Below are 14,869 nucleotides of genomic sequence, written 5' to 3' on the forward strand. Positions count from 1 at the left end.
TCCCTCTGTGATGAGGTTGAGGATTCCTAGCATCATATCTTTAGGGAAAAATAAATGTATCAGGCAAGATAATCCCATTAATTAATTTGGATTTTAGTTGTAAAGTATTGTATTAATCATAATCCCTGCATTGCAATACATTTTGATCATTAGTTCAGCTAGGTGTGGCCCTCTTTTAGTTCTTCGTTTATGGAATAAAATTTGGACTTCTATTTTAAATATAAATATTCATGTAATTAGAAACACATTGCCGCCCGGGTGCAGTGGCTCATGCCTATAATCCCAGCACTTTGGGAGGCAAAGGCAGGTGGATCACCTGAGGTCAGGAGTTTGAGACCAGATTGGCCAACATGGAGAAACCCCATCTCTACTAAAAATACAAAAATTAGCTGGGCATGATTGTGCACGCCTGTAATCCCGGCTACTAGGGAGGCTGAGGCCGGAGAATCGCTTGAACCCAGGAGGGGAAGGTTGCAGTAAGCTGAGATTGAGCCACTGCACTCCAGCCTGGGTGACAGAGTGAGGCTCTGTCTCAAAAAGAAAAAAAAAAAAAAAAAGGAAAAAGAAACACATTGCCATTTTCAATAAGTGGTTAAGCAAAAAGAGAGTACTTAGACAGGAATTGCCTATCTTTTGCTTATGCTCAAAGGCAAAATAACATGGTACCAAACATATTTGCATCTAATTAGCAGGTAAACTGTATATAATAATCTGTTTTAGTTTCACCAAGAAAGTGGTTGAAAATATTTTAAAAATTGAATTTGGATGCCTCCTGGTGGTATATACACTGCAGGTTCATCAAAGGATGCCCCCACCCCATTCTCTATCATCATACAACTTGATCTTTATCCATCTTAGGTTTCCTATCTCTGAAAACATTTTCATTTGCTACCTATGTTGAAAGCCACAGAATTAGTTAGTTGACCACGCTTGGAAACTGGACTTCTAAACGCAAATTCTTCGTGTGTGTTGTCTTTAAAATACGTACAGATGTAATACTACTGAACACAATTCCTAAAGAAAAGTTAATTTAGTATGCTAGAGAGTACTGGACTAAGAGTCAGGAGACCTATATTCTAGTCCTTGTTTTTTTTTTTTTGTTTTTTTTTTGTGACATATTCTTGGTGCGAAGCCCAGGCTGAAGTGCAATGGCATAAACTCGGCTCACTGTAACCTCCACTTCCTGGGTACAAGTGATTCTCCTGCCTCAGCCTCCTGAGTAGCTGGGACTACAGGTGCATGCCACTAAGCCTGGCTAATTTTTGTATTTTTAGTAGAGACGGGATTTCACCATATTGGCCAGTCTGGTCTCGAACTTCCAACCTCAAGTGATCCACCTGCCTTGGCCTTCTGAAGTGCTGGGATTATAGGCATGTGCCACCACGCCCGGCCTCTAGTCCTTGTTTTGCTACTAGCTAGTTAGTAATCTTAGGAAAACCTCTGAACTTCAGTGGGACTTTCCTTTTGCTTCCTATTCTATTTTACTACCAATCTACTACATCTTGCTGAACCAGCAACCTGAGAGTTACCTTTGATGGCTTTCTTTTTCCAGTCAATTACATTCAATCCATCAGAAAGTCGTGTTGGTTCTACCTCCAAAATATATTTTGAATCCTCTACAACAATCCCAGTCCAAAGTACCATCATCTCTCACCTAGATAAGAGTTACAGCTCCTTACATGGTTTTCTTGATTCTGCTTTTTAAAATGTAAACTGGGTTATTTTACTTTCTTACTTAAAACCATGACTTAGAATTAAAAAAAATATATATATTTTTTACCATGACCTAGAAGGCTCTACATGATCAACTCTTGCCTATTTCTTTAGTCTTGTATCTCACTTGCTTATATGGTCTAGCTACATTAGCCTTATTTCCTTCTTCTTTTTTTTTTAATAGTCTGGAACATAATAATCATAGGTATTTTAATGTCCTATTTCTTTTTTTTTTTTTTGATTTTGGAAAGAATTTTTTTTTTTTTTGAGACAGAGTCACGTGCCATCGCCAGGCTGGAGTGCAGTGGCACGGTCTCAGCTCACTGCAACCTCTTCCTCCCGGTTCAAGCAATTCTCCTGCCTCAGCCTCAAGAGTAACTGGGACTACAGGCATGTGCCACCACGGCCGGCTAATTTTCATATTTTTAGTAGAGACGGGATTTTGCCATGTTGGCCAGGATGGTCTTGATCTCTTGATGTCACGATCTGCCTGCCTTGGTCTCCCAAAGTGCTAGGATTGCAGGCATGAGCCACCATGCCTGGCCGATTTTGGAAAGAATTTAATATATTCTTTATTGTTAAGTGTACTCGATGCTGCACTTCTGCAGTCAAATGCTCTACCCTTGAGCTATACCCACAGCAATGCTGGACTTCTGAAACAACAATTATGCTTCAGCATAATAGCATATTCTACATAAATTCTGTTCATGATGCTTGTTCCTCTGATTTGCCTGGAATCGATGAATCATGTTCCAAGCACTCTTCTAGGCACTAAGGATACACGGCAGTGAATAAAGTTGAATGCCTGGTAGGGAAGTCAATAAACAATCCAGTAAATACAGTATATGTCGGGCAAGTACAAGGGAGAATACAGCAAGCAATGGGTCTAAGGAAGCTTTCTTTCTCTCCTCTGTACTTCCATACTGCCTTGTGTGGTGGCTCCAAGCTTTGGGCACCATGTCTTTTCTGTGCTGGCACAGCACCTAGCACTGAGTGGTTGCTTAGGAAATGTTTGTAAAATGAAGGAATTCACTTCTTTGTTCCCCATTCAACAAACCTTTCCCGAGTCTAGGCCCAACAGCTTAAATGGGCTGGAAGGCCAATGAGGTTCGAAACTCGGAGGCAGCCAGTTGCGGTGGCTCACACCTGTCATCCCAGCATTTTTAGAGGCCAAGGAGGGAGGATCCCTTGAGGCCAGGAGTTTGAGACCAGCCTGGGCAACAAAGTGAGACCCCCGTCTCTACAAAAAGAAAGAAACCCAGAGGAGATCACACAGGTGAGAGTGCTTTATAAAATTTAAAAATGAAAATTGTTCTAGAGAAATAATAATGCAACAGAGGCCAGAACCCCAGGACCTCAGCTTCCATGAGGCTGTGGGGCCAAGGGAGAATCCAGGACCTAAGGCTATGGGCCAGGCACTGGAACCCTAGGCAGGCCCCCGCTTTCCACCACCAGGGACCACATTCGGCCTCGGTCCCCCGGAGGTGCCCAGGGGCACTCACCTAAGCTCGTAGAGGCAGACAGCAGACCGTGACAGCCCGCTACCTCTGGAGGTATACAGGCACCATGTGCCCACCAACCACGTTGCCCTGACAATTCCCTGTTTCTTAACTAATATTTGAGTTACATGACAAGATGGTCTGCATTTATTGTCCAATTTGTTTCTTTTAGTTATTGGTTACACAACTCTTATATGCTCCTGTCTCTTTACATGCCTAGTAATTTTAAATATCAAGTATTATACATTTAAAAAAAGTAGAAGTTCCAGTTGATGTTATTACCCACCAGGGAATTTCAACTCTTCCTTTCACTGGGCAGATAGGGTGTGGAGTCTATCACCTGGACTGTGATGGGTTGAGGCTGGGTTGCAGTATATTTCTAGTTCGCCCTTGTTCTTAGGGCTTGGTCCTCCAGGGTTTTTCATCAAAGAGTCTTTGGGATTTCTTCTCAGTGGTGAAACATGGTAAGAATTTCCACTCTGATTTTGAGACCTTTTTTTAAAAGCAACTTTATTGAGAAATAATTTACAAACGATTACATTCACCTATTTTGAGTGTACAATGGTTTTTAGTGTATTTACAGAGTTGTGCTGCAGCCATCACCAGTCTAATTTTAGATCTTCGGAGAGGTTTTGACTTCACTCTTTAGCCTACCCCATGTACCTTCAGCATTGGCAGATGTCTTAAGAAAATGACTTACTTTATAATGATGCCCCAGAAGTCTTCATTTTTGTCACTCCTGCCCTGTAAAACTGCCAGCTCTGCTGGCTTTTCTGTCCCCAGCAATAGCTCTTTGGTGGGGACCCAGCTTGGATTCTCAGCCTCTAGATTTGCTGACACTCCCATATTGGCAAATGCCCTTGTGAAAAAGTGAATGGAAACCACCAGAGTTATTTCATCACTCTCTCAGGGCTCTAACTTTTTTCTTTTTTTCTTTTTCTCTTTTTTTTTTTTTTTGAGACGAAGTCTCCCTCTGTCACCCAGGCTAGAATGCAGTGGCTCAATCTCGGCTCACTGCATCCTCCACCTCCTGGGTTCAAGCAATTCTCCTGCCTCAGACTCCTGAGCCTCCCAAGTAGCTGGGATTACAGGCGCCCATTACCACACCCAGGTAATTTTTGTATTTTTAGTAGAGACGGGGTTTCACCATGTTGGCTAGGTTGGTCTTGAATTCCTAACCTCGGGTGACCCACCCCCTCTTGGCCTCCCAAAGTGCTGAGATTTCAGGTGTGAGCTACGGTGCCTGGCCGAAGGCCTCCAACTCTTGTGATTTTCCTCCCAGACTTTTTGCTGTTAAGCACTAGGAAAGTACAGGAAAGCCCTGTCTGCTTTTCTGAGGCTTCAGCTTAATGTTTTAGCCTCCCACTCTTCACAACCAAAGATCCCACTGGTTCTGTTACCACTGGGGACTCCGTGCAGGGTCCACAGTCCTCAATTCTTCTCTTCTTGGGAGAAAGAATTTGGCCAAGAGACAGAAGTAGATTTAAGGCAGAAACGAGAGTTTAATGAAGCAAAAAAAAAAAAAAAAAAAAAAAAAGTACACTTGTAAGGAACCAAGAGTGCAGCTCAAAAGATTGAGTGCCCTGCCTGATTGTTAGCTCGGGGCTCTTACAGATTTACTATTTACTGGCTTTTTTCCCCAGACTCTTCTAGTCATCCCTCCCCCAGGCAGGCTGTTGGCCACTGGCGGCAAGCACAGTGTTGCCTCAGTATCTGGGAGGGTCTGCATGCACCCTTTGGTAGTTGAAGTTATGGGCTTGCTCCCCTAGGGCAATTTTCCCATACCAGTGTAGCGCCCCCAGAGGAAGGTCATATATGAGTCAAACTCCGCCAGTTTGCTCCTTACAGACATGTGCATGCCTGGACATGTCCCAGAGGAAGGTCAACGTCTGCCATTTTAAGTTCATATCGGGAAGTTGTTGCTCACAAGTTCAAGGTGTCTCTTGTTTGTTAGGAAATTTTCCCCTCCCTGTCGTCTGCTACCTGACCATTGCTTGGTAGTCACCCTTCAGCCCCCGGGACATTCTTTGGGGCCCTATCCTGACCGGCTCATATCTGCCTATCTACCTACTCTAACAGCTGGTCTGTCCCCCAGCAGTGGAACGCTACCTGTGTTCTTCATTTGTATCCTTTAGCCTATGTCCAAGACAACCTATGCCCCAGGAAGACAGTGGCAGAACTTTAGCTCACCTTTCGAAGGTTCCTTCTCTGAAATGTATTCCCTTTAGTCCTTGTGGCTTCTACAGTCCTCTTGTGCCTTAAAAACGTGATTTTTAAATTTTTCTGACTTTGTTGTTAGTGGCACATTGGCCTTCAACCTATGGACAGCAGAAGTTAAATTAGCCTTATTTCTTGGAAAAGCCCCAGACTCTTTTTTACTTTGGGGTCTCCACATGTGCTGTTCATGCTATGTGGCACCCTCTCCATAAAACTTCTGGTGTTTGGCTTCCTCCACTTCTTCGTTCTCAGCTTGGATGCCTTCTTCTCAGCAACATGTTTTCTGACCACTATTTAAAGGTTTTCAGTCATCATTCCTTCCCAATATTTTCTATCACAGCATTCTGGTCTTTTTTTTTTTTTTTTTCTTCTTAGCACTCATCACAGTTTGAAATACCTGATTAATAATTAATAATTTATTTTTTATCTTCTCCGTGACAGTTTATGCTCTATGAGATTAAGAATGATATGTGTCCCTAATAATGCTTTTAGTAACCTCTCGATTAAACAAAGAAAGAAATGCTGAAATGAATTAGTGAATAAATAATTCAAAAAACAAAATTGGGCTTCATTCTCTTAGGAAAATTATTTACTTATATAGTTTTTATTTGTCTGTCTTTTTAGAGATAGTGTCTTGCTATGATGTCCAGGCTGGCCTGGAACTCCTGGGCTCAAGTGATCCTCCCACCTCAGCTTCTGCAGGTGCTTGGGACTACATGCATATGCCACTGCACCCAGCCCTACTTACATAGTTTTTTTTTTTTTTTTTTGAACTGGTAAATGACTTCCAACCAAATATTTCTAATACAATATTTTCTTTATTTCTCTGCTTTTACCTTAATCAATTAAATATATTTTGATTGCTTGCCGTGTAAATAGCTCTGTGCCAGTTATTTTGAGGTAAAACAAGATTTAAACATAGCTCTTTTTCTCATTTATATTGTGATCAATTTTAGGAGATATGATTTGTAAACCTTACAATCTCCCATTATACATGACAGTTAAAATAACTTAAACTAAATTCATTTTATTACCCTAAGACCATTCTCTTTCTACAATCTATATTTCCATTAGAATCATTGTCCTAGATACTGAAGCAAGACATTTTGAAATCATCCTCAGTTCTTTTCATTTTCCAAAGCCTAACAGACCTATGCTAGCATCTCAATCAGGCCACTCATGTGCTTGGAAAAGTTATTTATCTTCTTAGAACTTTACCTATAAAATGGTTAATACATAGATCAAATAAAATACAGAATATATGAAAAAAGATATTTTTCTTGGTATGGCAATATTAAAGACAAATAGATAATGTCTCACATTATTGGATTAATGGACAAGTTTTACTGGCAAACTTAACCAGCAAAAGGTCAGCAGAGGAAGTATGTGGGGGTGAGACAAGGGAGTTAGTAGGTTTGCTCTAGAAGAACCCTCCCTACCCTCCTTTAACTCTCCCATCCCCACTCTGCACTTTCATGAGAACAATCCTGTATGCAGGTAATTTACTACTGGGGCTTAAGTGCCCCACTGGTACATGTCAACATGTCTGAGAGTAATACTTGTCACCCTTGGAAGAAGTTAAATGAGGGTTTCTTGTGGGAAGATAAATTTTCCCTGTCTTGATCAGTGTGTTACCAGAGAATCTGAGCCTCTGTGATCATTCACCAGACAGTCTTGCTGGTTTCTTTACATGATGTCACCCCCTGACACAACCTGAGATGGAAATCAATTGGATTTTTAATGGCATCTTCAGTTTTTGTTATAAATGAAAGTACAGGGCTGAAATAGTAGTATGAGGCCAATCATGAATACTTGCAAAGTCTCCCACAATCACCCAGTTGTGGTATCCATGCTGAGATGTGAAAAACAAATTCCAAAGCTTAGATGAAACAGTAGCCAGGAACCAGATTGTGTCCAAGAAAAAGGCATGATATATTTGTCTACTCCTCAGTGAGGAAAAGAGATCTGGGGTATACAAACATGGTGCTCCCCCGGAACCTGTTGAAAATTGACCCTCTGCATTCATTTTGCATTGCCACCATGAATGTGGAAGTGCGGGAGCACAACTGTTGGAAGCCCAGCCAGCAGGGATTGAGACTGCTGCCAAGTGGAAGCAGCACCTACTTTTATGAAAGGAGCAGGAATAATTGGCACTCAGTCCCTCTAGAATGTATGTATTAAGGCATAACACCTGAAGCTCTGTAAAATCTTCAGTAAAATCCTTCTTACTGAGTAACATTTTGGGGGATATGATAATATGCTGTTTTCTGCTGCAAGATGCACCCACCTAGAGTGTCCATATGGAATCTAGTTATGTCTGGGTTACATATGTGGAATACTTAATGCTGTGCCTGCTACAGCTGGTGCTTAATTATTCAGCTGAATTCTGTCTTCAGCACATCTCTGATATTTGTCCTTTCCTTTTGATTTCTCCTGCTTTGGTGAGACCCTCTTGTCCTCAAGGACTCTTTAAACAGATCTCCTTATCTCCAGTCTTTCTTGCCTCAAGCTGGCCTTTCATATTAGGCTAAGCGTTAACTTTCTAATCTGAAATCTAAATTCTCTTATTTCCTGCTTTAACATATCCAAGGACTCCTTTTATAGAGATGAGGACTGAGAGATCTAGTTAGAATAAGAGTTCTTGAGTGTTAACCTAAGAGATTTGGGTTCATTAGATTTCTAATAAGAGTGATGGATATCCATATCCCTGTGTGCCCTTGAGCAAATTATTGGAGTTATTTTTGTTTCAGTTTTTTTGTCTTTAAAAATGAAGAAAATATTACCCATCTCATAGGATTTTAGCCAGGTTCAAATGTATTAATTTATGTAAAGTGCTTGGAACCATGCCAATCATATAATAAATGTTAAGTATATTATTATTACTATTTTTGTTGCTGTTGTTTAAATAGTACCTTAGGTTAAGTATACTTAAAGTGCCTGTGTGAGAACAGATTTTTGCTGGTTTTCATGGGATGATGAACTTATAATAGAATGTATATAAACTTTATCATTAATTACATTGCTACATTTAGCCAACTATTTTTCTTGCAGCAAGATTTTGTGGATGAAGGAAGTAGTTTGATGATTTACATTCTAGTGCTATGTTATTATCTTGTTGGATACCATAATAAATAATGCACAGAGAGTTCTCTTTTAGTAGCACTATCTGAGGTGATTTTGGTACAGGTGATCTTGGCTCTATCTTTTGAAAAATACTGACTTACAGGATAAATTGCATAGCCCTTAATATGACACCCCAGTTTATCACAATATTCTCATTTTACCCATTCTCCATAATTTTCTCCTCTTAATTTGGCTGTATTCCTCACTGTTTTAAAGTAAAAAACAGTATAGAGATAATAGGCAAAAATGAAACACTTCACTTACAAGTGGAGGTGGATTCCTGTGATTCCTGAGCTTAAAGCTAGAGTTAGAGTTGGCCAACACAGTTGGTCAAGCTAGAGGACTCAAACATGATGGTTAAAGGAACACACTTTCAGTAAGAAGTACTGGTAACCATGTAATCTGATTGCATTGGCACAGATTTAGGAAAGGTAGCAAAGCCATAAGGTGGGTGTAAGAAAATGGATGAGGAATAAGAGTTTGGACTAGGGCCAGCATTCAAGAATTTGGAGCAGGCAGGCAGTGTGATTCTTGATATACATTGCTTGCCTCAGCCTAGATCTGAAAAAGTTTTCTTGATTGGGTTTTTAGCAACTGTGTGCTATTATCCAAGTTCTAGAGATTTTGTTTTAGTAGGTGTGGGGTGGAATTTGAGAATAAATATTTTTTAAAAGCTCTCCAAATGATTTTGATGACCACCAGGTTTGGGGACCACTACCAGGAGATCTCTTATTGTTGTAACAAATGTCCTCATTTCCTGAAGGTGGTATCATTACCCCAATTCAAGACCTTTCATTGTCTGGCAGGTCAATGGAAAGTTTGAAGTGTGGTTGTTGTATTGCACTGCTACATGTGTTACAGTAACCGATCTCAAGGGAATTGGACATCCCCATCACCTGCCTCCCAAACACGCTGCCAGAGGACTAGTGCCAGAGCTGCTTTGCTCTTACCTGAACTTGCCCTTTGACCACAGTTGACTGGTCTAGGAGTAAACCACTCATTGAAGTAGAACTAATGAGTCTTCTTTGAGATTTTTAACTTGAGATCAGAAAGCCAAAGTTTTCCCCCTTATTCTTTTGTTAAATTCTGGCTGCCACATTTTCTACTATGAAATAAAACTAGTCTGTGGAGTCAGAGAATAAAGAATGCATAAGAAAACTGAAATATGAGATGGGAAGATAGTCCTGGCAATATTCAAAGTCCAAGTATTTTGGAAAATTCTGGTAGCTCTGGACCCATCCTTTGGGGTCAGAAGCAAAGAGGTTAGGATACCCTTAGTATTAGCAGATATTTGATATTTTGATATTTGATACTTGGTATTTTGCTTTGTAAAATCATTTATAATCAATTAAAAAAAATCTCCTAATTTCACGGAGACCCTAAATCTAATGCTATCTGAAGTATAGCAGATATGGTAGGCAGAATAATGATCCCACAAAACATCCAAGTCCTAGTATCCCAAATTTGAGAATATATTACCTTACACGAGGAAAGATTATCCTAGATTATCTGAGTGGGCCTAGTGTAATCACAAAGGTTCTTATAAGGGAAAGTGGGAAGAGGAAAGAGCATGAGAGATAGAGGGAGAGATATGATGACAGAAGCAGAGTTGGAAGGATGTAATTCCTGGGTTTGAAGATAGGGAAAGGGGGCCATGAACGAAGGAATGCAGGAGGCCTCAAGAAGCTGGAAGTGACAACAAAAAAGATTCTCCCATAGAACTTACAGAAAGATTGTAATCTTGCTAGCACATTGCTTTTAGCTCAATGAGATCCACTTTGAACTCCTGCCCCTGCCAGAACCATAAGATAATAAACGTCTGTTGTTTTAAGCAATTGAGTTTGTGCTAATTTGTTACAGCAGCAATAGGAAATGCACCAGGCAAAAACAAAGGCACAATTAGGAATTTCTTAGTGTTAGTCAGTGGTCAGCCTTGTGGTGCTAAGGGCATGGTTTCCAGTAGCTGAGGGCCCAGAAGCACACTCCTTAGTTACTCTCAGTTCAGTTGCCCACAGTTCCATGAAAGCATGTCCTATGGTTATTAATTTTGGTGACTTTGCATTGGCAGAGGGCCTTGAGCTCAGACTTAGCCTTCCTTTTTTATTCCTGCCTAGTTACTCTTTGAGAAAGGAGGCAAGTAATAAAGTCCTCCAAAGATCAAAGGCATTGTTTAGAACTAAGAGCAAAAAGTCACAACAATCTGAAAAAGAAGTTTCTATTTGTGAGTAAAATGGCATATTGATCACCTAAAGAAGACAGCCACTCCATAACAGAGAATTCAGCCTCATAGCTCTGCTGTTAACCTCTGTTTGCTCAGGCTCCCTAAGACAGGCTTGTGACCAATTATGCTGTGATTACCAATGTTCAGTGTAGCATGATCAGCTGCTGTCAGCTCTCATGTGCAGCCAGGCAAAGAATACAAAACAATTCTTGTTCATAGTTTAATGAAACCCAGTTCTGAAGGAACTTTTTATTGTATTTTTTTTTTTCCAATTTGCTCTCACCTAGGTTTTTGAATTTGCAAGATTATAAAACTTGTCCAACTGATTACTTTTCTGAAGAGCCATCGACTCTACCCAGCTTCTTGGGTGCCTCTTGTCTTTTAAATAATTATACAAACAGGTGTTTTGAAGAGGAAACCATAGTTTTCTTACAGCTGAAAAGCCAACTTTCAGATTGCAAACGAGTACATGTTAAAATATGTCCCGTATTCCAGGTAAAATCATAATGCTGTTGTGATTAATTTCCTTCACTTTGAAATGGAGAAGAACTCTATTTTACTTCTCAATATATCCTTCCCAGATGAATATTGATGTGTATAAATGAAGTGATATGGTCTGTACCATGTAGCTTAGCAGAAAACTAGATATTGCATTGGGTTGTTGGCAATGGTTTTACACAGGTATGATGTCTCATTCATGTTACAGTGAAAAGTCCATGGGTTCTCTTTTTAAATTTATTTTAAAATAATGTTGAACCTAGAGAAAAGTCTCAAGAATAATACAAAGAACTCCGTATATATTCACTCAGATTCATCCATTATTTACATTTTGCCAAATTTCTTCTCCTTCTCCTCCTTCTCCTTCCTTTTCTTCTTCTCCTTCTTCCTCTTATACTTTTTTCTCTTTATTTCTTTTTCTTTCTCCTTCTTCCTTCTTCTTTCTCTCTCTCTATGTATAATATATAATATATTTTATATATATATATGTAACCTCACATGGCCAGAGTATTGGCTATGTATATACTTATATGTATAAAATTACGTTATATATGTGTATTATACTATCTTCTCTGAGTCACTTGAGAGTGAAATGTTAACATTATATCCTTTTATTCCTATACACTTCAGTGCATATTTTCTAAGAGTGGAGACATTCTCTTACATGACTGTTTTGGTCATTTATTGCTGTACAATAAATTAATCCAAAGTTAATTGTGTAAAATAACAGTTACTTTTTTTGCTTATGGAGTTCATGGATCAGGAATTTGGAGTGAGGACAGTTGAGATGGCTTTTCTCTGCTTTATGCTGTCTGAAACCTCAACTTGGAAGACTCAAACCTCAGAAGGTGTTTTAAACATACGGAATCTGGAGATATCTGAAGCCTTCTTCATTCACATGCATGGTGTCTGGATTTGGATGTGTCAAAATCTGGGCTAAGTTGTACCTCTTGCCAGAACCTCTACATGTGGCTTCTTCATGTGTCTTTTGTTTTCTCATGGTATGGTGACATCAGGGTCATTGAATTTCTATCATGGCGGTTCAAGGCATCAAGAGCAAATATTTCTGTAAATCAGGTGAAAGCTTCAAGGCCTTTTTTGACAGCTTCAGAAGTCACACAGTGTCACTTTTGCTGTACTCTATTAGTCAAAGCAGTAACAAGCCTGTCAAGATTCAAGGGGGAGGAGAATTACAGCCCACATCTCAATGGGAAGAGTAATAATTCACAGCCATCTTTGTAACCACTGAAATCAACAGCATAATTATAAAATCAATTAATTTAACTTTGATACAATACAGTCAGCTCCCAAGTTCTTCAGTCAGGCTGACCAGGTCTGAATTCTGTCTCTGCCTCTTATGAGATACCTGACATTTGGCAGGTAACTCTGGTTACCAAGTCCTCAGGTTCTTCATCTCTAAATGAGGCCAGTGACACCTACGTCTTTTAGAGTTGCTTCAAGGGCTAAATAACATAATTACATGATGAGTCTGACATAAATAGTGGCTTACTAAGCATTAGGTCTTCCTCCTCAGAGAAATAAACATGGTACTGAGTACTCAAAAGGCCTATAATTGATTACGGTTATTTGGGAAGCTTTAGAGGTGACTGGCTTTCTGAGAAATAATGGAGAAATTCATTACAAAATTAAAATGTTGCCTTACTAAGTTCTATTTCTGAAGATTTTTCTTCCTTTTGTTTGATGCTAGATAAGTATCTTCAACCACCAGAGAGAATCCTTCAAATTTTTTAATACAAATTATAGTCATTTTAAGAGAAAAACTTATTCTATTCATCTATCAACATCATGAAAGTACAAACCTCAAGAAAATGATTAATTTCTTTTTAAAATTTTTATCATTACCCCTATTTATGTATTTATGGATTTATTTATTTATATTTTTTATTTCCATAGGTTTTTGAGGAACAGGTGGTTTTGGTTACATGAATAAGTTCTTTAGTGGTGATTTCTGAGATTTTGGTGCATCCATCACCTAAGTAATATACACTGTACCCAATTTGTAGTCTTTTTATCCCTCACCCCCCTCCCACCCTTTCCCCCTGAGTCTCCAAAGTTCATTGCATCAGTCTTACGCCTTTGTGTCTTCATAGCTTAGTTTCCACTTCTAAGTGAGAACATACAATGTTTGGTTTTTCATTCCTGAGTTACTTCACTTAGAATAATGGTCTCCGACTCCATCCAGGTTGCTGTGAATGCCATTATTTCATTTCTTTTTATGGCTGAGTAGTATTCCAATATATATATATATATATATATATAATCTCACAATTTCTTTATCCACTCTTTGATTGATGGGTATTTGGGCTGGCTCCATATTTTTGCAATTGCAAATTGTGCTGCTATAAACATGTGTGTGCAAGTATCTTTTTTGTATAATGACTTCCTTTCCTCTGAGTAGATACCTGGTAGTGGGATTGCTGGATCAAATGATAGTTCTACTTTTAGTTCTTTAAGGAATCTCCACACTGTTTTCCATAGCGGTTGTACTAATTTACATTCCCACCAGCGGTGTAGAAGTATTCCCTTTTCATCATATCCCTGCCAAAATCTATTATTTTAAAATTTTTAAATTATGGCCATTCTTGCAGGAGTAAGGTGGTATCGCATTGTGGTTTTGATTTGCATTTCCTTGATTATTACTGACGTTGAGCATTTTTTCATATGTTTGTTGGCTATTTATATCTTCTTTTGAGAATTGTCTATTCATGCCCTTAGCCCACTTTTTGATGGGATTTTTTGTTCTTTTTCTTGCTAATTTGTTTGAGTTATTTGTAGATTCTGGATATTAGTCCTTTGTCAGATGTATAGATTGTGAAGATTTTCTCCTGCTCTGTGGGTTGTCTATTTACTCTGCTGACCATTCCTTTTGCGGCACAGAAGCTTTTTAGTTTAATTAAGTCCCATCTATTTATCTTTGTTTTTGTTGCATTTGCTTTTGGTTTCTTGGTCATGAAGTCTTTGCTTAAGCCAATGTCTAGGAGGGTTTTTCTAGTTATTTTCTAGAGTTTTCATAGTTTCAAGTTTTAGATTTAAGTACTTGATCCATCTTGAGTTGATTTTTGTATGAGGTGAAAGATAAAGATCCAGTTTCATTCTTCTACATGTGGCTTGACAATTACCCCAGCACCATTTGTTGAATAGAAAAGAACATGATTAATTTCTGAATCACCATATGTTTGGCTACAAGTAGCAGAAAACTCAACTCAAAAATCGCTTAAACAATGAAGAAGAAAATTTATTATTTTATAACAAAAAGACAAGAAGCATGAACATTCCGGAGTTGGTTAATTCAGTAGCTCAGTGATTTCATCAATGGTTCAGTTCTTTCTATGTTTCTGCTGAAACCTCCTCCATGTGTTGGCCAGACCACAACTGGAAATTTCATGGTAATAAGAAGGCTGAAGCAGCTGCCAGCATCATATTCAGATATGGTAACATTCATAAAAAGAGATGATTTATTCCTCTGAACCATTGAAGAGTAAGAAAAATCCTTCTCAGAAGTCCTCCAGAAGATGCTTCTCATCTCTCATTCGGTAGACTTGCCATGCATGTGTCTAATGCACATGGGAAGGGAAAT

The 14,869-nt window shown here is 39.1% G+C and overlaps 1 long non-coding RNA gene across 2 annotated transcripts in view, besides 4 other annotated features; it reads left to right on the forward strand.

The window, feature by feature from the left end:
• Nucleotides 1-14,869, forward strand: part of LOC105374739 (uncharacterized) — a 90,060-nt gene that overhangs the window by 46,248 nt on the left and 28,943 nt on the right. The window lies entirely within an intron of this gene.
• Nucleotides 4,406-5,605: an enhancer, noted in NCBI's record as "MED14-independent group 3 enhancer chr5:41122112-41123311 (GRCh37/hg19 assembly coordinates)". NCBI's record gives its function as "activates an origin of replication core promoter dependent on BRD2, BRD4, P300/CBP and CDK7 cofactors, and independent of MED14, by STARR-seq in HCT116 cells {active_cell/tissue: HCT116}" and the evidence as "EXISTENCE:reporter gene assay evidence [ECO:0000049][PMID:35650434]".
• Nucleotides 4,406-5,656: a biological region, named in NCBI's record as "MED14-independent group 3 enhancer GRCh37_chr5:41122112-41123311".
• Nucleotides 4,655-5,156: an enhancer, noted in NCBI's record as "H3K27ac hESC enhancer chr5:41122361-41122862 (GRCh37/hg19 assembly coordinates)". NCBI's record gives its function as "activates a minimal SCP1, AML or CMV promoter by ChIP-STARR-seq in primed H9 embryonic stem cells {active_cell/tissue: H9 hESC(primed)}" and the evidence as "EXISTENCE:reporter gene assay evidence [ECO:0000049][PMID:30033119]".
• Nucleotides 5,157-5,656: an enhancer, noted in NCBI's record as "H3K27ac hESC enhancer chr5:41122863-41123362 (GRCh37/hg19 assembly coordinates)". NCBI's record gives its function as "activates a minimal SCP1, AML or CMV promoter by ChIP-STARR-seq in primed H9 embryonic stem cells {active_cell/tissue: H9 hESC(primed)}" and the evidence as "EXISTENCE:reporter gene assay evidence [ECO:0000049][PMID:30033119]".

Source organism: Homo sapiens, chromosome 5 (genome assembly GCF_000001405.40).
Source record: "Homo sapiens chromosome 5, GRCh38.p14 Primary Assembly".
Lineage (NCBI taxonomy): Eukaryota > Metazoa > Chordata > Mammalia > Primates > Hominidae > Homo > Homo sapiens.